The sequence below is a fragment of the Homo sapiens genome, chromosome 4, assembly GCF_000001405.40.
Source record: "Homo sapiens chromosome 4, GRCh38.p14 Primary Assembly".
NCBI classification, from domain to species: Eukaryota; Metazoa; Chordata; class Mammalia; order Primates; family Hominidae; genus Homo; species Homo sapiens.
The window spans coordinates 12,706,836-12,734,072 of record NC_000004.12 but is presented as its reverse complement, the minus strand read 5'-3'; the positions used below and the strand labels follow the sequence as shown (position 1 = coordinate 12,734,072).

The 27,237-nt window shown below is 37.6% G+C and overlaps 1 long non-coding RNA gene across 2 annotated transcripts; it reads right to left on the bottom strand.

Moving 5' to 3' along the window:
* Positions 1–10,044: 10,044 nt before the first annotated feature.
* LOC107986181 (uncharacterized) lies at positions 10,045–26,604 on the bottom strand. 2 transcript variants are annotated; one of them, XR_001741376.2, is made up of 3 exons: positions 26,529–26,604; positions 25,256–25,354; positions 10,045–10,127 (listed from the first exon to the last, which is right to left on the bottom strand). It is a non-coding gene; the product is annotated as an uncharacterized LOC107986181 (long non-coding RNA). The 2 variants fall into 2 exon arrangements; XR_001741377.2 differs by lacking the exon at positions 26,529–26,604 and adding an exon at positions 25,804–25,835.
* Positions 26,605–27,237: the final 633 nt, after the last annotated feature.

Below are 27,237 nucleotides of genomic sequence, written 5' to 3'. Positions count from 1 at the left end.
AAATATACAGATTTCACAGAGAAGCAGTTGGAAAGAGGATCTTAAAGACCCTTCTAACTCCCAGGATCTCTGAATCTATGGACTGTTCAAGGCCTAAAGCCACTCACAAGAATGAACATGTTTCCCTCAAGCGCATTTAAACAAATTAGTTTATTTTCAACTTTTTAATTCATTTAACCAGATACAGATTGAGATAGTGTTGCAGGTTAGACCCTGTGGGAGTCATTGAGGAAAATGCTGATTCCTAGACTTGGCCACAGAGTTTCTGAGGCAGAATTTGAAATGTGAGGCACAGAAGTGGGACTGACTACGTAATTCGTGGGCCCCAGGGAAAAATGAACATGGGGATCCCTTGTTAAAAAAAAATTAGGAATTCCAAGATGGTGGCAGCAGTGCATGAACCCAAATGCAAGACTCTTCTAAACATGCAGTCCCATGTGACCGCACAGGTTGTACACTCGTGAAGTTGCCCCTGCACCAAAATTTGTTACAGAAATTCCACAAGTCATCTTGATAGGTCACTCAGTTTGGTAACCACCATTATAGGAAATTAAAAGATGAATAATTAATTGCATTTATCATAATATAGTGGGAGAACAGGTCAACACAAGTCAATGGGCTAGTCAGTCACCTTCGAATCTGAAGAACATAGACTCACTTAGGATTTTTTAAATATAACAGAATTTTACAGAGGAAACTGGAAAGAGGAGACACTTAAAAAAAAAAAAAAAAAAAGAACTTCTAGTGCAGAAATCTAGTGCTCACTGGGACCAGCCATTGGTGTCCATTGGAGATCTAAGGAGCTCTGCAAACCAACCACACCAGTTACACCTCTTCTGCTTGCAGGAGATATAAAAGTTAATCCGCTTTCTTGTGAGAAAATGACATTGGCTCACGTGACAGAAAAGCCTGTATGTAGGGCTGACTTCAGACGTGCTTGACAGGACCTGGTTCTCCATTCTTTACTTGACTCTAGTCTCCTTATTTTATTGGCTTCTTCCTGAGACAGGTTCTCTATATGGTGTTAAAATGCTGTTGCAGCCATTCTAGACTTTATGGCTGATGGTAAGGCGGGCAGCTCATTTCCCCAAGAGTCAAACTGTCTTCTCCTGGTTGGCAGGGATCCAAATTATTCCCCCTTCTTAAAGATGAGACATGCTGATTAGCATAGGTCCCCATCTGAGTTCTTTGAGGGAAAGCTATGTTTGTCTTCCTTTTACAGATGAAGAAATTGGAGTAGAGAGGGCTATAGCTTGCCAAGGTCATAAAGCCAGTGAAAGCAAAGCCTGGAATTTGAATGTAGGCACCTGACTTGAGGACCCACTTTATTAGCCACTTAATTGTTTTAAAATTTCTGACTAAAGAGACTTTTCATTTTTAGCTTTCTTACTCTTAAATTCAGCTTTCCCATAACTTCAGAACACCGGTGACCCTCACGACTTACACGATTCCATCTGATATATTGGCACACGCTGCCAACTCTGTAATTTTCTGTGTTTTTTGTCTACGCAGATTCTTTTTTTTTTTTTTTTGAGATGGAATTTCACTCTGTCATCCAGGCTGGAGTGCAGTGGTGAGATCTCCTCTCACTGCAACCTCTGCCTCCCGGGTTCAAGCGATTCTCCTGCCTTAACCTCCTGAGTAGCTGGGATTACAGGCACATGCCACCACACCCAGCTAATTTTTTGTATTTTTAGTAGAGACCAGGTTTCACCACATTGGCCAAGCTGGTCTCAAACTCCTGACCTCAAATGATCTGCTTGCCTCAGCCTCCCCTTCCAAATGCTGGGATTACAGGAGTGAGCCACCATGCCTGGCCCTATTCATATTCTTGATTGAGAGAATATGATCAGTCTAGTTTGACCTTGTTTGAACACAACTTTATATGTCAGGCTTCTTCACTGGCCACGAGACAATTATGATGGGTCAGGGGCTGTCTCTTGGTCTAATAACCTTTATGAAGTGAAGGCTGGTCCTGATGATGTAATGTTCAGGCAGTCTCTCCTTCCCTCTTTCCTTGCCTACTATTCCTCCACATCCAGCTGGCTTGGAGCATGGCTAGGTCTCTTAGAATTAGACTTTAAGATTTACCTGTGAAATAGTACACACTACATGTGTGTAGTGGGAAGTATACTATGAGGCAAGTAAAATGTGGGTAAGGCTGGCCCAAGCACAGTTCTGTGAAAATTAAAAGGAGAGGCCTCATTTTGCATGGTCTTTTGAGATGTGGCCATAGGATGGTCTTGGAGATGAGTAAGAATGATCAATCAGGTAAAGGGAACTGCAGGAACAGGACATGGGGGTTAAAAGACTTGCCTGTTCCAGGCATTGCATGTTTGTTTTAGACATCGTGATCAGTCACTTCTTTTCTCAAGAGACATATTAAACAACTACTGTATTCTCAAAGATGTGTGTCTGTGTGTGTGTTTCTGTATCTGTGTCTGTATGTGTGTATATCAAAGAAGTCACCATTTGCAGACTTCCAGACTTCTTACTCTATGGGCCATAGTGGGCTTTATGTTAGTTGTGAAGTCCTGCAATCTAAACTCAAGTGCCCTCTGTGACAATTCATCTTTGACTTTTCCAAGAAGATTTGGCCAACTTGCCTCTGTGATGGCGCAGGTCCTCTGAAAAGCGGATACCATAATGGAATTCAGTTGCAGGAGATTTATTGGAGAAAGTGTTGATGAGGAATAAAGGGTAGAGGGAACAGGAGAAAGTTAAGGAGAGCCTTTAGGTCATGATGCAGTTCTGATACCTACAAACGGGGAGAGGGAGAATGGGTTGGGAAGAAAGAGCTTCTGACCACAGTGCAGCTCCTAGAAGGTGTCACTAGGGCAAAAGGAGAGTCTAGAGTAGAGGCTGCCTATTAGAAGAGTCCTGCATTGGGCAGGAGTGTCCTGGACTGGCACATCTCCAGGAGAGTGTGACTTTGAGTGAACATCCTGGTGGATCTGGAAGTAACATCTGAAGGCTGTCGGCCAGCCACTCATCATAGCAGATACTGTCTTAAAAAGAGATTGGAGCAGCCCCCACCCTGGCTTATACCTTCAAAAAATAAGACTTTTTATATTGTATGTCATATTATTCAAGTTAAAAAAATATATATTTTTCACTCCTGAATGATAATTGTTGATATATTTGGCCCCAGTAAGTTTAGCTCCTTGAGAAGAAAGACTGTATTATTTTTCCTTTCTGAAATCTCAACATCTAGTAAAGCACACAGTATTCAGTAAATACTTATTGAACAAATGAATGAATAATCCAAGCAATTAACCATTCAATAAAGGGTTTTCAGTGAAGAAGTTAAATGATTGAAGTCAATCTTTTGAGAGGTTATTCTGGCATTGCTGTAAGCTTAGTGGTGCAATAGAAAAATGTGGACTCTCCAGTCAGAAGGTCCTAGGGCTAAATCACATTTTAAACTGCTTGTTAGGTTTATATTTTTGGTCAAATAACCTGGCTTTTCTGAGCCTCAGTTGCCTCATGTATAAACCTAGAATAATACCTACTTAATGGCTTTTTCTGAGCATTAAAAGAGATGATGCCTAATCTGGTTTGGCTGTGTCCCCACCCAAATCTCATCTTTAATTGTGGTTCCCATAATTCCCACATGTTATGGGAGGGACCCAGTGGGAGATAATTTGAATCATGGGGGTGGTTTCCCCATACTTTTCTTATGGTAGTGAATAAGTGTCATGAGAGCTGATGGTTTTATAAGGGGAAACTCCTTTCACTTGGTTCTCATTTCCTCTTTATCTGCTGCCATGTAAGATGTGCTTTTTGCCATGATTGTGAGGCCTCCCCAGCCATGTGGAACTGTGAGTCCATTAAACCTCTTTTTCTTTATAAATTACCCAGTCTTGAGTATGTCTTTATCAGCAGCATGAAAATGGACAATGCCCAAAATGGCTGATACAGAGCCTGGCATACAGGAGAATTCCTGTAAATGCTGCCTCATTTACCTGCTTCCTAGAATTGAATCTCCAATTTGCTACTAAAGAGAGTAACTTTATTTCCCTATTCTTCACAATGAGGCTGAAGGAGCAAGGACTGATCCCAACAGTGACCTCAAAAGTTCAATATTTGACATAATAATCTAATTGATATATTTACTAGGTATATTGTCTTTTAGTTCTCTTAACAGTCTCTTTATCACTAATGCAACAAAATGAGGATTAATGAAACAAAATCTGCATTAGTACAATTGTCATTTTCAGAGCGGGAGACTGAGGTTCACAATGTTAAATAATTCACCCTAGGTCACATTTCAGTAAAGGAAATTACAGGATTCAAACCCAAGTCTTTGTTGAGTTTGAGCTCCTAACCATTATACTGGCTATGTAGTGATGGACAAGCAGTTAGGAGACCTTGGTAGCCCTTGAACCAAATCTTGGGTTCTGTAAGGGTGTTCCCAAGATCCCAAGAAATTAGCATGAACCAGGCAATAATACCACCTGAAGAGAGAGCATTAGGACTTGAGACACGTCTCCCTTTTGTTAGGGTGTTCTGCCCTCTGCTGGTTGCTTTTAATATTTTTTTTTTTTTAATTTTTTTTTTTTTATTATACTTTAAGTTTAATATTTTTATACATTTGGGTCATTTAAAATGCCAAGTATTCAGGTCTTCTTGGTAGTAGTCAAATTAGTGAAAGAAAGAATACTTCATATTATATGTAATTAGCTTATAAATATATGACTATTTGACTACTTTCAAGTATGGGTGTGTGTCTCTCACCCACAAAGCTATAAAGCCTAATACAGTGCCTGTCACACAATAGGTTATAAGCAAATGCTGTATAAATGAATGGCTGGGAACTCACACACAGAAAGAACACAAAAAAGTAAAGTGTAGGACTGAATATAAATATATAAAATATATATTCTGACAGGTTTGGTGCTCAGTGTTTCTTGAGTGAATGAATGAATCCAACAATTGACTAATCTATCAACCAACATTGACATTTCTGTGATTACAATAGAATCATGGTTGACAACCTGTGTCCTCTTTTGAGCCTAAAATTGGTTTAGTCAACAAACAACTTCTTTTCCTTATTTCTTACTGAAATCTTGTAACCTTCTATTTCTTATTGATAAAAGGCAGCATGGTGACAGGAAGCACTTCTTCCCCAGGTAGTGATAATTTGGAGAAAATACTTTTAAGTATGAAAACCTTGAAATGTGGCTGAAAAATTCTGATCGTTTGAGATTTAGGAATTTTCTCACTCATCTCCTTCTTTTCCGTCCTTCCTCTTCACTTTCTTTCTGTTTAACAAAAAATAAATTTGAAAACCCTTTTTTTTTTTTAATTTATATTTTCTCTCGTTTTCTCTCTATTAGTGGAGCTTTCAAGGATATGGTCACTCTTTGAAAGCAGCAACAATGGGAGACATGTTAGATTTCCTTCCCCCACCTCATCCCACCCAAAAGTAGAGCAATTATTATAGGAATGATTCCAGTCGTTTCCCCCTCCAGTGTCAACTATGAATAATTTACTATTTCAGAACTGGATATGCAAATTCATCATGCAGATCAGCAAAACTGGGAGGCTATCCATGGGCACACAGACTTAATGAGTGTTTTATTACCTTCCAAACAGCGCTCCCCAGCATGCCTGTTTAGCATTTGCTGAACACTTGCTTGGAACTAATGAGATCATCCCAAACCTCAGGTGATCATTACCAGGGGCTTGGCTCTGCAGTTCCTCTGGGAAAAAATGAAAAATGCTGGAGAAAGAGGAATGAGGGCACTGTCAGGAGTGATGACATCTGCTTTTCTGAATTTTCAAAATTGTTTCATATCGTTTGGATTCTAAGTAAAAGACATCTTAGAAGATAGGAAAATATCTCAATGACATATTGAGGGCATTTTCCCCCTAACTTCGTATTTTAAAGTGGAATATAGGCATATCTATCTATCTATCTATCTATCTATCTATCTATCCACCTAACTACCTATCATGACTTAAGAAAACCTGTGTTCTGATTTAATACTCTGAATCACGATTGACTACTTTGAGTCAACCACAATAACAGCAAAATTGTAGTCCCTCAATTCAGTTCAATGTAGCTGATTCTTCCAATCAGTCACAGTAAAGGGGCATTGGGTGTTTTCCACAATAATAAAAAAAATTAAATGTAGTATATTCATGTAAAATACATAAAATTGTATTACATTTTAATATATAATTACTAATAGTAATAATAATTTTATTATTTTAAAAGTTATAAAGGCATTATATTTCAGAAGTTCAGAGAAGAAAAGAAAAAAGAAAAAAAGCATTCCTAATCCCACCATAACACAACCACAATGAATGTTGAGTTTTATTTTCTTCCTGTCTTCATTATACACAACCATATTTTATAGGCCTATATACAGCGATCTTGTAATTTTGTATCCTGAGTTTTTTCACTTACTATTTGCGCATACTATTACTATTTTAAGCATTTTTATACTATAATTCAATATTTATGATGATTATTTTAATACCTCTGTAATGTTTCATCAAGTGAGCATAGCTTACTTGCGAATCCACTGTAGTGTTTCTCGTTAATAAATTTCAGATGTAGAGATTTATATGCTCTGAAAACTAATGCCTAGAATCCTACACCAAGTTTTAACAAATACTGTTCTTTTTTACATATTTTAAAACCACAGTGTGAAAGGGGTTGTTAGTTGACCCAGGTTCTATAACTGTCTCACCCATTTGTACTACTTTCAACATCTTTCCGAATGCTAATCGTCCATGTCTATAAAGTCGGGCTTAGTATACCTGCTTTAGCTTACCTAAAAACCCTGTGGTGAGTACTCCATGAAGGAAAGCACTTTTAGATCTTGAAAGCATGTATGCAACTTACTACGTCATTTGGTTGATTTTCTAAATGTTATGTTATGTAAGCCCTTTGCTGTGCTCTTAATCTTGGAATGGCAGGATGGTCTCAGCAGCTCCACTATAGAAAGCTCCACTATCAACCCTAAAAATTGAAAGCAAGCAGATCATGTTTGTGGTTAGCTGGGGTCCTGAAAAATGTACAGAATAAGGCATGGTGGGCTTTGCTTGCAACTTTTGGGGCTGCCTAAGAGGTGCCTTTTCTTGGACCCTCAGAAACGCTCTGCCTTGGGGTTCATCTTTCCCTGACTCTCACATTGTCATTTAGACCTGATCCTCTTCCAACTGGGGTCTTGCCATTTTCATCCTAGGCTTGATAGTTATTTAATTCCAACTGGCTTTCTTCTGTGTTGAGGTTAAGAAGACTTCAGACACATGTGGGTTTTGGAGAAAGTGAAGGCAGCCCAAGCTACCTGGCTTTAGATGCAATCACTTATATAATTAAATAATCAGATCAATGATAATTTTATACTGCTGATAAATTTGGGGGTGTGATTTCATACACAGATCTTTCTTTCTCTCTGGTGCGCTCTCTGTCTCTCTCTTCCTTCAGCAAGTGTGACAGTGTGGGAAACAAAAACCATTTTGCCATCTTCATATAACCACAAACCAGTAGGCACAATTAAGTGTGACATACCAGTGAGTACAATTATAACGAGAGCCACAAAACAACAAAACCTATTTAAGAAACCATTGATGAAGGCAATATGCAATACTATGAAAGTAACAGCAAGGCGGTTCCTGGTGTGCTCAAGTACAACTCTAGAAAAATAAAGGCGTCCCTTTTTCTTTTTTTTTTTTTTTTGAGATGGAGTCTCGCTCTGTCACCCAGGCTGGAGTGGAATGGTGTGATCTCAGCTCACTGCAACCTCCGCCTTCCGGGTTCAAGCGATTCTCCCGCCTCAGCTTCCGGAGTAGCTGGGATTACAGGCAACCGCCATCATGACTGGCTAATTTCTTTTTTTTTGTATTTTTGCAGAAACCGGGTTTCACCATGTTGGCCAGGCTGGTCTCAAACTTCTGACCTCAGGTGATCTGCCTGCCTCGGCCTCCCAAAGTGTTGGGATTACAGGCATGAGCCACCACGCCCAGCCAGGTGTGCATTTTTATTTCACTAGCGGACATAATGCAATGTGCAATGTTAAGGGAAGAATTAGTATTCCTTATGAAAATGGATATTTACCACTCACCAACCAGTGTTTTCCTAGTAAGAGATTATTCCATTCTTTTTCATTTGCCGATTTTCATAATTATTTTGCCCAAGTTTTCAGAGAATGCAAACTCATAGGCAACCTGTCACTTATGTTGATTTTGTCCCTGGTGTATAATTAGGCTCCCTGCATCTGATGCCACTCCCCTTGTTTCTCTGCCTCCCTTGCCATTAGATGGGGCCACAGGACCAATTCCAGTCAATGGCCTGAAAACCAAAGTGACTGTTAGGCCTGGCACGCCTCCCCCATTCTTTCCTCTCCCTTTTGCAGCAACCTTGGGGGTCATGCCTTCCAGATGGAGATTCAAGATGAAACAAGGTACAAGATAAAAAAACAGCTGTTGAATCCACATCAAACTGTGATACAAGTGAAAAACAAACTTTTATTGCATGAAGCCACTGAGATTTCTGGGCTTCTCTGTGGCAGCAGTTAGCATTAATTAACCTAACTAATACAGCTCTACAACAAAGTAAGTTGAAATGCTCAAATGGTTTGGGCAAGGGACACATCTGCATATCTTGCCAGCCTTTCACACATCAAATTAGAGAACTGAGGCCGCTGCACAGAGAATTTAAATTCAATGCTCAATTATTTCCAAGTGACCATTTTTTATAATGTGAAATTTGCACAGTGGCCATGATGATCTCTTTGCTGCTGCTTAGGATGTCTTAGTTCTGCTTGTGGTCATCTTTTCTAGGCTGTTACCAAAGAGCTGATATTATGTGATTAGTTTCCATTTCCAGCATGACCTAATAAAATGCTTTGGCAGCATGTAGTTGCCAAATATGTGTTTTACGAATGAATGAATGAATGAATGAATGAATTTTAAGCATCTATCTGATATTTTAAATATCTATTTGATTTCCAGAAATATAAATGACAACTTAGTAGCTTGTTGTCTCGTAAGACAGACAGACAAGTTTTCCTAGGGGTATGCCGTACACTGAGAAAAGAGGAGGATGTGGAATCAGAAGTTCTGAGTCTAAAATCTCACCTCCACAGTGCCAGGCTCCAAGGCATTCTGCAAGACTTCTATCCTCCTTCAGCCTGTTCCCCATTCCCCACAAGACTAGAAAATAAGGTGATGTTTCATTGCATTGTGAAAATTAATGAAAATACCTGATATCTCATCAGAAAAAATAAAGGACTTTCTCCATAAATGTTAATTACCACTTCTGCTCTGGGAAATCACAAACTAAGAGATAAGGAGGAAAAAAAAAATCCTCCAGTTCAGACGACTGATGATATATGACCACAAGGTGACAGCATTGAGTCAATACCATCTATTTTTCTGGCATAAAGGAGGAAGAGTGTCAATTCTGAATGTCTAAAAATGTATATTATCCAGTGTGAACACACAACAGATAGTTGCTAAAAACTATAAGATATGAGCGTTATAATCTCAGGGGCGTTGCGCTGTGTCTCCACATTTTTATTGCTTTCTAAGGCTTAGAAAATCATTCGCGTTGACATGTTGTTGTTAATGTTGATATGCAATGGAAATGGGGAAGTTTTTGTTCTCTTTGCCTGGGGAAGTTTTTTTCTCTTTGCCTAGAGAAGTTTATCAGAGGATTATCAGGCTTTTACAGAGAGGAAAGAAAAGTTTCCAATTCTTTTTCTGGGGGGCATTTCAATTTTTCTAGTGCAGAAGAAAGACTCTTCCCATAAAGATTGATTACTGAACAGTAGGACAGTTACCCCGCTGCCTCTGGGAAGCAGAGCAATCTCAAAAGTTCAGATACAGCTCTCAAAGCCTGGCCGTCCTTCCTTCCAAACTTCTGGGGCTTCCCAAGAGTAGACCTTCCGTTTGTCCCTCAGAAACTCTCTACCCTAAAATTCAACTCTCCTCATAAGAATTTCACTCTCTTCTAGACCCTGTTGCCCTTCCTGCTGGGATCTTGCCGCCCCTCACTTTGTCCTTTGGTCTTGGTTGAAAGTCATTTTGTTCCTGCTGTTTTTCTGTTGTGTGAACTTGTGAGGGCGCCAGATTCCTGTGTGCTGACGAGAGAATGGAGAGACACTGCATGTCTTAAAAAAAAAAAAAAAAAAATTGAAATAGTTCAAATATTGAGGAAAGTATGGAATACATCAACACCTGTGTACTCGTCATCTAAATTTAACAAATGCTATCATTTCAGCTCTTAGAAAAACAACAACAAATCATTACAGAGAGCTGAAGTCTCCACGTACAATCTTATTTTCTCTTTCCATCACCAAAGATAATGATTACCCTGGTATTTTGCAGTTCATGTTTTAATTACTGGGCTACTTATTTATGTGTAATTATGGAGGTAATTCTGAACTGTGTGCATACTTACCCTGCTTTGAAAATGCAGAGAATGAGATGGGCAGGAGCAGAATCATTCTGCACTCACTTACCCCTCTCTCCTGCTTTCTAGAGACCCACACGACTTTCTGTCTGGCCCCATCTTTCTTTCATGTTCTCACTTCTCAGAATGCTGGTATTAAAATAGCATGCTATTTAAACTCAAAGGGCATGGGGTTGGAATCCCAGCTCTGCTATAAATGAGCTGGAAGACTGTGGGCAAATCACATCATTTATCTGAGCTGTATCAGGTTATCAATGTAAAATGTATGAAATAATACTATTTCCATGGGGATCATTAATTTACTCTAATTACATATGGTAGCTTTTCATCAAAATTGAAAATTGCACATTTCTTGTGCTTGGCACTAGAAGTGCAAACACAAATCAAATGCATAGCCAGGAAAATAAATCTTATTTTTGAGAGGAAAACAGGTGCATTAACAACAATTATTATCCAACATGATTAGTATGACAAGACAGGTGTTTACAAACTGTTATGGGAGTCCAGGAAAGGAAAATATCAGTTCTTTACTTAGACATCAAAGGGAGTTTTGTTCTTGTTGTTTGTTCATTAGTTTTTCCACTTTTCATTTCTTTTTTTCCCCAAGGTGATAATTTGAGTTGTGCTGTATACATATGATGGGGAAGAAAAAGGAAATCCACATTTGTTTGGCATTTTTGAAGTTACAAGTACCAACCATATCCGATTTTACTTTCTTTTGCATCTGTCAATGTACATTTTCTAATTTCTTTATCTAGCACTTATATAGTATCTGGCATGTTTTTAAAACAATATTTTGACCTTGTTTTCCAGATTAAAAATCTGAGACTCGGAGAAGAATCACAAGGCATCCAAGGTCACATGACAATTAACAACTACCAGCAGGTCCCCACATCCTCTCCTGACCCCCATGGAGCGGGGCTGGAGGTATGGGAACAACCTCCATTCATTCTCCTCTCAATCAACATTATTTGGGGAGATCTCTTCCAAGTCAAAATTGGTCTTTTATTTTTTTAATTTTTTTGAGACAAGGTCTCACTCTGTCACCCAGGCTGAAGTGCAGTGGCACCATCTCAGCTCACTGCAATCTCTGCCTCCCCAGTTCAAGTGATTCTTGTGCCTCAGCCTCCCAAATATCCAGGACTACAGTTGTGTGCCACCATGCCCAGCTAATTCTTGCATTTTTAGTAAAGACAGGGTTCCACCATGTTGGCCAGGCTGGTCTTGAACTCCTGGCCTCAAGTGAACTGTCCTTCTTGACCTCCCAAAATGCTGGGTTTATAGGTGTCAGCCACCATGCTCAGCTGGCCCTGTTTTATTGGCCACTTTTGCCAGCATTTGACAAGGTGACTTTTTTCCTCCTCTTCAGAGCTCTCAGCTACTCTAGGAGCCTACCCTCTCCTGTGCCTCTCTGAGACCCATGCCTTGTAGGATCCTCTCAGCTTCTTCAAAGAGCAGTAATTTTCAGAATTGACCTTTAATTTATTGCTACTTTAGTTTACTTATTTTTATCACAGGTCCTTATGGCTGTTCTCACAGTTTCAGCCCCAACCTACATGCGAAACACTCCTTGCCCAACTCGCTGGTTCTCACCATTGGGTTTTACTTGAGAGTTTCTTCATCAAAGGAGCCCAGCCTTCCCTGCACCTGACAGAATCTCAATCTTATATCCTCCCACCATTTTCCTCCATAACACTAGTTATGATGTTAAATTATACAATTTCATGGGTTGTTTAGGATTTTTTTCCTCTTCAAAACTTCTAGGAAGATAGAATATATCTGTGTAACTTAAAATTGTATATCCATTGTCTAGTATGACAAAGTACATAGTAAATGCTAAATAAACATTAAACACACACACACACACACACACACAAGGCTGGGCATGGTGGCTGACCCCTGTAATCCCAGCACTTTGGGAGGCCAAGGCGGGTGGATCTCCTGAGGTCAGGAATTCAAGACCAGTCTGGCCAACATGGCGAAACCCTGTCTCTAATGAAAATACAAAAATTATTATCTGGGCATGGTGGCGGGTGCCTATAATCTCAGCTACTCAGGAGGCTGAGGCAGGAGAATCGTTTGAACCCGAGAGGTGGAGGTTGCAGTGAGCTGAGATTGTGCAATTGCACTCCAGCCTGGATGACAAGAGCGAAACTCTGTCTCAAACAAACAAAAGCAAACAAACAAAACACACAAAAACAAATTCTCAGATATTCATCTTTCGTTTGTAACATATCACCTTTGTGAACTCTAAGCCTATAAATCTGGCTTGTTACATTAATATCCAATAGGCAGGGCAGACACAGGAGGAATGCTTGCATCTAAACACAATTTCCCCTGTATTCTCTAAGCGACTAAAAGGCTTTGGGTCCCCACTGTCCAAATGGACAATCACCAGACTCGGTTCTCATTCATCAGATGCCTTCTTTCTTTCCTTCTCCTCCATTCAAATAATCACCACTCATGCTGACTGCCCTACTAAGTATTTTGCAAATTGATCGCTCCTTCACATCATGTGATTGTGGACCTACTTTAAATCCCATCTTCTCCTGTAAGTATCACTTTCAACAGCCTTATTGAAAGCTACCCGTGGTAGTTTGGTTTTCTAAACTTCCTACATTTTCAAACCACCTCAGAATTTCTTCTGCTGTGTTCGTCATATATCTATAGCAACTCCACTATTATTCATGTAGTTAAAAATAGACTAATCTTTTCAAACTTAGCTAAAATTTTGCTCAACAATATGAATGAAAACATCAGTTTCATATGAAATTATAATTTTTCCAGTATACAATGAGTACATAGTTATTAAAAATATTAATTTAAATGCCACCTCAAATTTCATCATATCACACATCCCATGTCACACAACCCTCCCAACACTGACTTGGTCCTTACCGTGTACTGTTCGTGCTGGAAGGGCTTCCTTTACCTTATTTAATTGAATATACTATGTCTTTTCTAATTGAGTCATTGTAGCAAGTACTGTGGTAAGTATTATTATGTCTATTTTGCAGAGGAGAAAACTGGAAGTTAGAGAGGTTAAGTGATGAGATAAGTCAGCTCTGGGCAACAGAGCCCACCTTTACCCAGGGCTCTGACACCCCTAACCAGGCTCTGTTATCAGTCTTGTTCCCCTCAATCTTTATCACTTGAATTCCTCGCTTCACACCCTTCAATGTCACCCCGTTGCTGATAGGAAAAGCCCACACATCTTAGCAGGGTACATCAGACCCCACTGGAGTGGTGCCTTTCTACCTATTCCATCTTGTCTTTCAGCACACACTGACTAGTGCTCTGTGCTCCACGATCTCTGACCAGTTGGCTGGAGTACATTCCTCTGGCTTCTCAGTGTCTGCTGATGCTATCTCCTAAGGTCGAAAGGCTTCTCCCTCTGCTGCTCTACCTTGTCCTATTTGTCTTACATCTTCTCCTACTTTACAATTGTTTGCAACCTCCCCTACTTTCAAGGCCCTTCTTGATATCTCCTATCCCCCATCTGCAGAGTGGCTTGCTTGATTCTCCTCTGCAATCCTAACATCGTGTGTGTATTTCTATTGCAGACCTCACATCATATTACAACTGCTGTGCTCCCGTCTCCTTCTTATAAGGTGATATCTTTTGCAGAGAAGACCTGTGTGTCCCTTGTCTCTGTATCTAGCAAACCTAGTGAGCACCAGGTTCAAAGAATCATCATTAAATACATGAACTGATTCTATTTAATGAGCAACTTTGTGAGAATAGGAACTCATCACCATCTTTGTATTAGTTTCCCGCAAGAGACGTAAGTATGTATTGAAATAAACTATTTAAAAATTTTCTGTATTTGGAACATTGTCTTGCTATTCTGACCTAACTTAAAACTAGATTATTTTTTCAAAGGAATCTAGTTGGGTTCCAAGGGCGATATTAAATCACTTTATTTTTTATATTTAGGTGCCTTTTTATGTAGAAAGTGGAATTCTGTAGGCCTCTTCTATTTGTTCCTTAAAGAATTTAACTCTTCAGCTTTCCGAGAGGCACACTGCCTGTTTCTGTTGATGAAGACATTGCGGAGGCAAAGCACCTTCCCAAATTCTGACTGTTCAGCTCTTGGATTTGCACCCTGTCTTCAGTAACTCTTTTTAATTAGCCCCTTGATAGTTTTCCTTCACTCCAAAAATACCATTTTGCTGTAGGGAGACAAGGACAATCTCTTTTCTCTGAGAGATAATCCTAGATTTCCACTGCTGAGTCAGATAAAAGTAGTAACATATTTCAGAGGGTGCTTTTTATCTAAACATGTGTGCTGAACCATCTTTGCAGATCTCTGCATGGTGAATACAGTTCATTAGAAGCCTATGCAAGTGACATATTTCTACATCATAGTCGATTTTGAATTAGGGTATTTTTATAATCGTTTTGATCATCATTTAATTTCCTCCCTTCCTTTCAGTGGATTTGCTTTTTATCTACTGGATGAAACTTTACCAGACCTGAAGATTTAGCAAATATCCGTTCTTCTCTGGTCTTCTCTTATCCCATTCACTCTACCTTGGTTGGAACCATTTTCTTCCGAATGGGGGAATGAAGGCCTCACTTTATTTCTATTTCTATGAAAACTTCCTGGAACTGAGCTTGGTATATGAATTCCTCCTCTGCTGGGAAGCAAGATACTTAAGGACACAGAGTATGGTTGTCTCATAATTGTCTTGTCAGTGCCTGGGTATTTATTCATCCATTATTGCATTGCTACCAAGAAACACCTTAGACTGGGTGATTTATAAAGAAAAGAGGTTTAACTGGCTCATGATTCCACAGGCTGTAGAAGCGTGCTGCTGGGTTCCGCTCAGCTTCTGGGGAGGCTTCAGGAAACTTAAAATCATGCTGGAAGGTGAAGAAGGGGCAGGCACTTCACATAGCCAGAGCAGGAGCAAGAGAGAGAGAGAGAGACGGGGGAGGTGCCACACGCTTTTATACCACCAGATCTTATGAGAACTCACTTACTATTGTGAGAACAGTACCAAGAGGATGGTGCTAAACCATTCTTGAGAAACCTGCCCCCATGATTCAATAACCTCCCACCAGGCCCCACTTCCAAAATTAGGGATTGCAATTGAACATGAGATTTTGGTGGGGACACACATCCAAACCACATCAAGGTGCTATTTAAGTATTTGTTGCGATGAATGAAAACGAAGTGGTTGGTTTCTTTGTCTCCCGGTTTTCCTGGCCTGACAAAGGAGAGCTTCTGGGATCTGCCGTGAGTGCTGCTGTCTTCCTCTCTTCTCACTCCTTGTCTGGCATCTGAGCCACTTGGAGCCCACACAGAGCTGCATCCCCAAGCCCACCCTGCCCACATCCAACTCTGCTATGTGTTCTGAACATGACTTGTGTTACTCATACCCTAACACTTGACTACTAGGCAATAGGATCTTTGACGGCTGAGAAGAAGGTAGATTCTCTTATTCAAAGTCATGTTTTTGATACTTTGTATAGCATATGACACAGACTAGGTTCCAAGCCAATATTGATTAAATGAATGAGGGTACATTAAGGGATCTATCCTCCCATCTGCTCCCAAACCCAGATTTATCTCTGCGGTTTAGTTCTAATACAGTTTCTTGTGGAAGGCTTCCAAGATCGTTTCCGTACCTCTTGGATATGGTCCCACTCTTTTGTAATCCCATAATGTCTTCACAGACAGATAAAGATATTTCTTTATCACACCATGTTGCAATTCTCTCTTTATTGATCTCTGTTGCTCTCCTAAATAATTATGGGCTCTGTGAAGGTGATGGTTTTAACTGAGGCTTCCTAGTTTTCCTGACTCTTGGGGCTTTACTGGCAATAGACACTGAAGATATATTTGTTGTATAAATAAGCAAGAAAGAAATATGTAATGTTTTGCAGCATTATTATATCCTTTGAAAGTGGGAAGTTATTCCCAATGACAAGCATTCGTTGAAATGCCACTAGCTCTCTGAAGAGGTGCAACTGGGAAGAAAAGGAATAGCATAAGCAAAGAAGCAAATTATAAGATGTACCAGTCCTTGAGGTCTAGAAAATGCCTTTGCAAAGCGTCTATTGATTCCCAGAAACCTGTTAACACTCAGATGACAATAAAAAACGTGCAGACAAAGATAGCAAGGAAAATGAAGCTTCTTAAATATATCCAAAGCCATATGTTTTGGGTAGGGATATTGGGCAAGTAATTCCTTGGGAGAGATGGCCACTACTGATAAATGGCGTTTGCATGAGAAAGTGAATAACAAGTTGTGTTTCAGTGCAAGAATGCTTCACAATGTCTGACTCTTAATTATTGTTCTTGAAAAAATGGACATTTTAAAAACTCATACGTGTTGTATATGACACATACACATACACACACAAATAAAAAGATCACATATATACATTGATCAAGGTTACCTGGCTAATAAATGTTAGACTTATGATTCAGAAATGTCATTCTGTGTCTCAGGTTGCCAAATCAATTTGTTCATTCAGAAACACTAGTGGCTCAAAGACACCTACCACAGGCCAAGTACTTTACAAGGCACTTAAGGATTAGACCTCGCCCTTGCCCTTAAGTAGTTACAATCCAGTAGGAACAGTAAGTCATATCAAAAGAGCTATTATGAAATATATAATGCAGCAGGATCTCAAAGTGGGGGCACTTCCAAGTGTGGGATCAAAGTTTCTTCCCATTCCCACAAATCAATAAATACATGAGTGTAGAACTGAATTGAAACAATATTCCTTTTGTGTGGTATTAGACTATCTTATTTTGAGTTTTATTCCATAGCCGTGAGTTAGGTGGATGAGTCAAATGAAACTCAAATACTCAAAATTACAAGTTTACCTCTATTTAAAATATGTTAAGTAAAATATGTTAGGTTATAGGAAGCTTAACGTTTAAAGTCTTAGAAAGAAAGCTCTTAGCTTATAAATTTTAAAAATTGACTTTTCTTTATTTCTTGTTTTAACTTTTATTTTAAGTTCAGGGGTTTAAGTGCAGGTTTGTTACATATGTAAACTTGTGTCATGAGGGTTGTACAGATTATTTCATCACTCAGGTATTAAGCCTAGTACCCATTAGTTGGTTGTCCTGATTCTCTCCCTCCTCCCATCCTCCACTCTCTGAAAGGTCCCAGTGTGTGTTGTTCCCCTCTGTGTGTCCATGTGTTCTCATCATTTAGCTCCCACTTATAAGAACATGTGGTATTTGCTTTTCTGATCCTGCATTAGTTTGCTAAAGATAATGGCCTCCAGCTCCATCCATGTTCCTGCAAAGTATATGATCTTGTTCTTTTTTATGGCTGCAATAGTATTCCATGGTGTGTATGTGCCACATTTTCTTTGTCCAGTCTATCATTAATGGACATTTAGGTTGATTCCATGTCTTTGCTATTGTAAATAAGTGCTGTAATGAACATATGCATGCGTCTTTATAATAGAATTATTTTTATTCCTTTGTATTTGTATACCCAGTAATGGATTACCAGTTTGGATAGGGATATTTAGCAAGTAATCCCATGACAATCCTAGTAATGGGATTGCTGGGTTGAATGTTATTTCTGTCTTTAGGTCTTTGAGGAATTGCCACACTGTCTTCCACAATGGTTGAACTAATTTACACTTCCACCAACAGCGTATAAGGGTTCCTTTTTCTCCATAACCTTGCAAGCATCTGTTACTTTTTGAGTGGGTAAAGGACATAAACACACACTTTTCAAAAGCAGACATACATACAGCCAACAGTTATATGAATAAAAAGCTCAACATCACTGATCATTAGAGAGAGGCAAATCAAAACCACAATGAGATACCATATCACACCAGTCAGAATGGCTACTACTAAAAAATGGCCTTTATATAGGAGTTGGCTAAAGCCAAATGTTGGTGAAGTGTTGTTGGCAAATGTCAAGTGTGCTATAAGATATTAGACTTATGAACTTCCATAAGTTGAATAGGCATAAGTGGCAGAATTCTAACCAGCCAATGTAAAAAAAGATGAACTTTTACATTTCATTAGTCTTTGTATTAGTGAGGGTTCTCTAGAGGGACAGAACTAATGGGAGATATATACATATATATATAATATAATATATGTAATTTATCATGTAAATATATAATATCATATAAATATATATAATATAATATATATAATTTATTATGTAAATATATAGTATATAATTTATTATGTAAATATATAATATAACATATAATTTATTATATAAATATATATGATATCATATATAATTTATTATATAAATATATGATATCATATATAATTTATTATATATGATATCATATATAATTTATTATATGATATCATATATAATTTATTATATATGATATAATATATATAATGTATTATATATGATATAATATATATAATGTATTATATCAATATATATGATATAATATATATAATGTATTATATCAATATATATTGATATAATATATATAATTTATTATATCAATATATATGATATAATATATATAATTTATTATATCAATATATATGATATAATATATATAATTTATTATATCAATATATATGATATAATATATATAATTTATTATATCAATATATATGATATAATATATATAATTTATTATATCAATATATATGATATAATATATATAATTTATTATATCAATATATATGATATAATATATATAATTTATTATATCATATATATGATATAATATATATATAATTTATTATATCATATATATGATATAATATATATATAATTTATTATATCAATATATATGATATAATATATATAATTTATTATATCTATATATGATATAATATACATAATTTATTATATCTATATATGATATAATATACATAATTTATTATATCAATATACATGATATAATATATATAATTTATTATATCAATATACATGATATAATATATATAATTTATTATATCTATATGATATAATATATATAATTTATTATATCTATATATATGATATAATATATATAATTTATTATATCTATATATGATATAATATATATAATTTATTATATCTATATACATGATATAATATATATAATTTATTATATCAATATACATGATATAATATATATAATTTATTATATCTATATATGATATAATATATATAATTTCTTATATCAATATATGATGTATATAATTTCTTATATCAATATATGATATATATATAATTTATATCAATATATGATATAATATATATAATTTCTTATGTCAATATATGATATAATATATATAATTTATATCAATATATGATATAATATATAATTTATACAAATATATGATATAATATATAATTTATATAAATATATGATATAATGTATAATTTATATAAATATATGATATAATATATAATTTATATAAATATATGATATAATATAAATTTATATAAATATATATAATATAATATATAATTTCTATAAATATATATGATATATATTTATTATATTATATATAATATGAATATATTTATTATATATCATATATATTATATAATATATATATCATATATATTATATAATATATATATCATATATATTATATAATATATATATCATATATATTATATAATATATATAATATCATATATATTATGTAAATATATGATATCATATATATTATGTAAATATATATATCATATATATTTATGATGTAAATATATATATCATATATATTTATGATGTAAATATATATATCATATATATTTATGATGTAAATATATATATCATATATATTTATGATGTAAATATATATATCATATATATTTATGATGTAAATATATATATCATATATATTTATGATGTAAATATATATATCATATATATTGATGTAAATATATATATCATATATATTTTATATATATTTATGTAAATATATATATCATATATATTTTATATATATTTATGTAAATATATATATCATATATATTTATGTAAATATATATCATATCATATATATATTTATGTAAATGTATATATCATATATATATTTATGATATAAATAATTTATTATATAAATATATATGATATATATTATATGTAATATATAATAAATATTTATAATATATAATACATTTTTATTATATAAATATATAATATATAATAAATATTTTTTATATATTGTATAAATATATTTTATATATATATCCTAATCATTCTAAGCAAATCAGTGACCAGAACATATGTGTTTTGAGTGTATGGTTCTATTGTTTTCATTGTTTGGATTTCAGCCATTTATCAAACACATTTTCAGTGCAACTCTCAGTCAAGATGGTTTCTCATTTACCATTTTCTAACTTAGTAAAATCTATCCCACAGCTCATTTTTGTTCTACAAGTCTCAGTTTAAATGTCTTATCAGTCACGACAGCTATTGCACTATAGTTAAAAAGAATTTAAGTGGCTTAAAGAAGCAAAGGCTTACTTTTTGCTTCTAGTCTGTCCCCATTGGAGGGCATCTCAGGGCTCTGTTCTGAGTGCCCTTGCTCCAATGCCTAGGTTTATAAAATACCTGTGATCCAGAAGGTGCCTTGTCCCTATGCAGAGGGAAGAAGAGTACTGAAGGTCTCCAATCCCATCATTCAGTTCTGTGACTTTAAGTCGCACACATCATGTCCACTCACACCCTAGCTGGAAATAATGGCATGGCCCCACGTAACAATGAAGGGGCCAGGAAGGACTCCACTATTTGCCTGGAAGATGAAAAGCCAGAAATGTTCGCTGAATATCCTTGAGGACCTTCACAGTGACTTACCCAGAACAGACTCAGAGCGCCCTCCTCCTCATCCTCACCAGTGACTACGTGCCTCCACTTGAGGCCATAGCTCGTAGGATCATGCTTTCTGCCAGGTCCTGGTAAAGGCTCCTCCCCTTCCTGCTGCGCCAGTCCTTGGCTGCTTTCTCATCTGGAGCTGGTTTCCCTAACCATGCCAGCCACCTTGTAGATTGTTTTGTTTGTTTGTTTGTTGTTTTTGTCTTTTGTTTTTTTGTTTTTGTTTTTTGAGACAGAGTCTTGCTCTGTCACCCAGGCTGGAGTGCAGTGGCGTGATCTCCACTCATTGCAACCTCTGCCTCCTGGGTTCAAGAGATTCTCCTGCCTCAGCCTCCCAACTAGCTGAGACTACAGGCTTGTGCCACCACACCCGATAAATCTTTGTATTGTTAGTAGAGATGGGGTTTCACCATGTTGGCCGGGACGGTCTAGAACTCCTGTCCTCAAGTGATCTGCCTGCCTTGGCCTTCATGTGCCCAGCCTTCCAAAGTGCTGGGATTACAGGCATGAGCCACTCCACCTGGCTGATAGTCTCTTCATTGGGCTTTCTTTAGTTATCACCTTCAGTGCTATCCCTTTCTTCTTCAACCCCTAGTGTCCCCAAATCAGCAAGCTCAGATCTCAGCTTAGATCCCTTTCCTCAAAAGGGAATTGATTAGTCTCTCCATACCAAAACCGCCACTCTCTTTCTGACATGCTACACCACGTTTTCTGCCTATTCTGCTCTCCCATGAAGGTTCTGTCTAAAGTTACATGTAATCTCCATACACAAAGTAAATGGATGAAGTTATGTTTTTGTCTCATTCCAATTCTCTGTCCACCTGCACAGATAAGAGCAGAGCAGATCAACCTATCTGCTGCCTAGAAGCAGATGCCCAAGAAAGGACATGGATAGTAGGCTTTCTTTAGTCTAGGGACCATTTGGATTACGGTAGGGTTGGACCTATGGTTGCGAAGGATAGCAGGCGGCATCACACTACCAAAACCACCACTAACCCCTTTCCTTGCCTTGGCCATCTTCATATATTGATAGAAATTTGGGGATGATAATTGAGATGCTGGATTTTTGTTGCCTTGAAGAGGTTCTTACTGCAAATGTTTGCAGCTATTCTTAGAATGTGTAAGTCCTGTATATATCTTTGTCCTCAGATTTGGTTTCTAATCCCTGATTTGGAGTCAATAGAACAATCTTACTAAATATATGCTTTTATCTTTTCTTCTGATTGTCTATTGCTGTAGAAAAAATTACCAAAACTTAGTGTCTTGGAGCAAGAGACATTTTATTATACCTTATGATTTTGTGATTCAGAAATTTGAGCAAGACATGCTGGAGTTGGCTTGCATCAGCTCAGAAGAGCCAATTGTTAAATATTCAAGAAATTTGTGAGCTTTATAGCTAAACCTTCAATAGCATAAAGCCAGCCATGGTGGGGGTATTTATATCACAGAAGTCAGAAAACACTAAACTCATTTTTTTTTCCTCCAAGGGCATGTTTACCAGCATACCACTTCTTTTGTTCAACATTTATTGACAGTAGCAACTCAGGAATATTCAGCTGGCAGGAGGACAGGTCTGGAGGTTCCAGAAAGGCTTCGCTCACATGTCTGGCATGCCTGGCACCTTGGAGGCAACAGCTAGAAAACTCAGCTCGGACTGTCTATCAGAACACCTACACATGGCCTCTCCAGCATGGTGGTTTCAGGGTAGTCAAACTTTTTTTTTTTTTTTTTTGAGGCAGAGCTTTGTTCCTTTTTGCCCAGGCTGGAGTGCCATGGCACAATGTTGGCTCACTGCACCCTCCGCCTCCTGGGTTCAAGCAATTCTTCTGCCTCAGACTCCTCAGTAGCTGGAATTACAGGCATGTGCCACCACCTCCAGCTAACTTCGTATCTTTAGTAGAGATGGGGTTTCACCATGTTGGCCAGGCTGGTCTCGAACTCCTGACCTCAGGTGATCCACCCACCTCGGCCTCCCAAAGTGCTGGGATTACAGGCATGAGCCACTGTGCCTGGTTGTCAGACTTTTTATATGGTCACTCAAAGCTTTTGGAGCAAGTGATACAAGAACCCAGACAGAAGCTACAAGGCTTTTTATGACTTAGCTTCACTGGGTACATGAACTTGTCAAGCAAGTCCCTGTACACAGTCTAGATTCAAAGGAATTAGACTCTGTTTTTCAATGGAGGGAGTAGTAAAGAATTAGTGACTATCTTACGTCTTTTATACACACACACACACACACACACACACACACACAGAGAATACAATTGCTTTATCTATATCTCAGCCTCAGTGTTTCACGGGCATCTCTAATTCATCATGTTCAAAACTTAACTCATAGTCTTTCATCCCGTATTAGAATAATTCCTGTTAGTTTCTGTAACATGCAAACCCTGAAAAGTTAAGTACTCGTGCTGTCTTAGTTCAAGGTTATCATGGGAAGGCCAGCCTCCATGGAGGCATTCAGGGACCCAGGCTATTTCAGTGCTATACCTCTTCTATATTTCACAGGAGGCTTTAAGCTTCAAGTTCCTTTTTGTGGGATGGCAGAAAGAAGAAAAGGGGCAGGGGCACCACTTGGGATTTTTTTAGAGACAAGGCCCTTTAACCCCACATGTATAGCCAACTTTACCTTCTCCCCAGGGGCAGTGACTGAAAGTCCCACTTAAACAAAGCATCCATTCCAAAGCCCAGGTCTATGAGAATACATGGTCTTTTCCATCAGAGTAGATACTGTTCCTTGCAGTTCAGTGACTCCTGAATGAAAATGTGAGTTATTTTTCTCTACAAGTCCCCACTGCCAGCCGTTATAGAATGATGCAGGGAACTGCAATAAAACTTGCATTTGGTCAAAGGAGATGGAAGGAACATACATCAGCTCCTGGGCCATAGTAATTCTAGTTCTTACTGAATTAAAACTATGAAAGTTTTCTACCTTAAGAGGAATGAGAAGTTCCCCTTTGTGTTTTTACTCTGGTCTCATATAGAAAGTCTTCTGCTCATTGAAGTCTGAGGACACCAGTTCCACCTTCTAGAGGGTTCCTTTGTACTATAATCTCCCTTGACTACATCTGAAGAGGAATTAGGAATATTTTCTTCCTGAGAACTTCGCAGCTTTTTTAGCCTGATTCTGCTCATGAAAGATAGGTGGTTGCAGAATTATTTTGAGTGTTGGAGATACTTTTTTCCTTTTATTATTATTTTTATGCTAACTTCATTTTACTTTTGGCAAAACAATTTCCTCACAATTTTGCAGATGTCTGATTATTTTTTCAGTCAGTGTAGTGTGGCAGTTACCATACCCAAAGTTCTCTCCAAAGTCATGATTCTCTAGTCTGATTTATGCCTTTGCTTCTTTGCTGTGACGTCTCTTTCTTTCTCTAGAAAAGAATAGCTAATATCTTGATGCATTCTGAGACAATACATAAGAAGGCCGCATCCTTATTCTGATCTTTGCCACCGGAATGAGTATTTTTGTTAAATTAAGAAGTTATTTCAGATCTTTCACATAAACCCTTTAAAAATTTCATCTTTTACACTTGGGGCCTGTTAATAATTGGCTTTTTCAACGCCGTACTATTCTGAATGTTTGGACTGTTGCATTTTCTTTCTTTTCTGCTTACTAACCAGCTAATTCTTTTGACTTTTTTTTCTTATATTTAATCCTTGCCAAATACAACCAATAACAATTTGTACACAGTAGTAAAATCTGTTTATAACCACTTTTTAAACTCATGGAATATCATGCCCTCTAAATATCATGAAATTTTGCCAGATTATTTGCTACTGTAAAGCATGGCTCTCTAGACATTCAGCCAGCCATATCTTTCTTGTCACCTGTGATCAGCTGCAAAGGAAAGGACATTAATTATATTGATTTTATTATGATGAGTTTCTACTGTTGATTGTTTTGTTTTGTTTTGTTTTGTTTTCACAATAACCCCCTATTTCTAATTTAGTTGGGGCAGGCTAACTTCTATTGAAAACATTATCACACCTTACACCTTACAGGCTTAATACAGCAGAGAATTTTTCCTCACTCACCTTATGATCTAGTGCATGCTGGGTGATTCCCTTTTCAGTAGTGATTCAGAATCCCAAGCTTCTTCCATTTTGCGGCTCCAATGTCACCCTGGAGTTCTCCTACTTGGAAGCCAGGGGAAAAAAAGCATGGAAGTGCCTGTGAGAGATCTTATAGGCTGGTCCTGGACGTGGCACTCCCCGTGTATGCCCACATTTCATTAGCTGGAACTTGGGCACACAGATCTGCAATTCAGTCTTCCTGGGAGCCTCAGAGGGAAAGTAAACAAGTTTGGTGACTATACAGCATTGTCTCAATTACAGTTCCAAAACTGCTCCCTTTTTACAGTTCATATGTAATTGAATATTATTATTTACTTGGCCTTGGACACAAAGGTAAAAAAATAAGATTTCTGGTTGGGCTCGGTGGCTCACGCCTGTAATCCCAGCACTTTGGGAGGCCGAGGCGAGTGGATCACCTGAGGTCAGGAGTTCAAGACCAGCCTGGCCAACGTGGTGAAAATGCATCTCTACTGAAAATATGAAAATTAGCCAGGGGTGGTGGCACACACCTGTAATCCCAGCTACTCGGGAGGCTGAGGCAAGAAAATCAGTTGAACCTGGGAGGCGGGGTTTGCAGCGAGCTGAGATCATGCCACCACACTCCAGCCTGGGTGACAGAGTGAGAGACTCTGTCTCAAAAAAAAATAAAATAATTAGACTTCCATATCCAATCATTCATGAAATCCTAATCCTCTTGATACCTTTTTCCATGATGTCTTTGTATTCTACTGTGACAACTACTGTCTTAGTTTAGAAACTCATTTTCACTCAGTGGAAACTTTTGCAGTCACCACCTACCTAGTCTGCCTACCTTCCATCAAGACTTTGCCAGTCTAAGGTACACTCTGCTGCTAGACTTATTTTAATGAAGTGAAAATAGTACCATCTTACTCTTGGGCTTAAAACCTTTCTGCCTATCACTCCCTGTAATAGATACATCATTTCTGAGAAACACAAAGCCCCTTAATGATCTGCTTGTATTTGCCCATCTAGGGTTAACTTTTGCCTCTCTCCTCTCTCTACTCCTCATTCCAGCTGATGCTAACCACTATTTTTAATTGAACTTTGTTTTAAATTTTTGAGATATTATAGATTCACATACAGTTACAAGCAATAATACCTTAACTACTTTTAACTCATGAGATTTACTGTGCCTCTGCCTCCCCCACAGCCCTCCAGAGACATCTTTCTACCTGACTATTACTTGCAATTTAATGATTATTTCAACTATTACCTTCAATGGGAAGCCTTCTCCTCTCTCCCTTCAGTGTTGCCGGATGCTGCCTTTGCCCTACTTCCTCACTGTGCATGTCTCTTTACCTTCATGTACCACTTGCAATATTGGTTTGCTGTTCAACAATGACATGCTAGTCAACAGTGACTTGCTAGTCAGTCCATCTTACCATAGCAGGGAATATTTCTTTTTCAACCTCATAACCCTTAATATAAGACACCCTCTTGGCCCACAGAAGGTACTCAGCAAAGGGCTGTGGATTCCTGCTTGGCAGAATCCATAATGACTAAACATTCAGGCTCTGGTTTTTGTCTGGTTGGTTTTTGTACAGCAAAGGATTGGCCCAGCATGTCAGGGGTGTTCAAATTCTGCACATTCCAAAGAAAAGACTGGCTCATGACCAGTTCCTGGGAGATAACTTCTAAACCCTTGGAAAACCCTGCCTGATAAAAAGGTCTTTGTATACCTGGGGACTTTGGCCACTCTAGTTTATACTAACAATGCTATTTTGGGTGGGGACCTTGAGCTATGCTGCATCACTTTGACATCTGGAGGGGCAGGAGACTGAGTGACTAAGGTCAGCCAAATGGGTATCCATGCCTATATGACTGGTTTCTAATGGAAACCCTGAATACCAAGGCATAGGTGAGCTCCCCTGGTTGGCAATACTCACATGTTGGGAGACAGTTCGGCTGGAAGAATTAGGCCC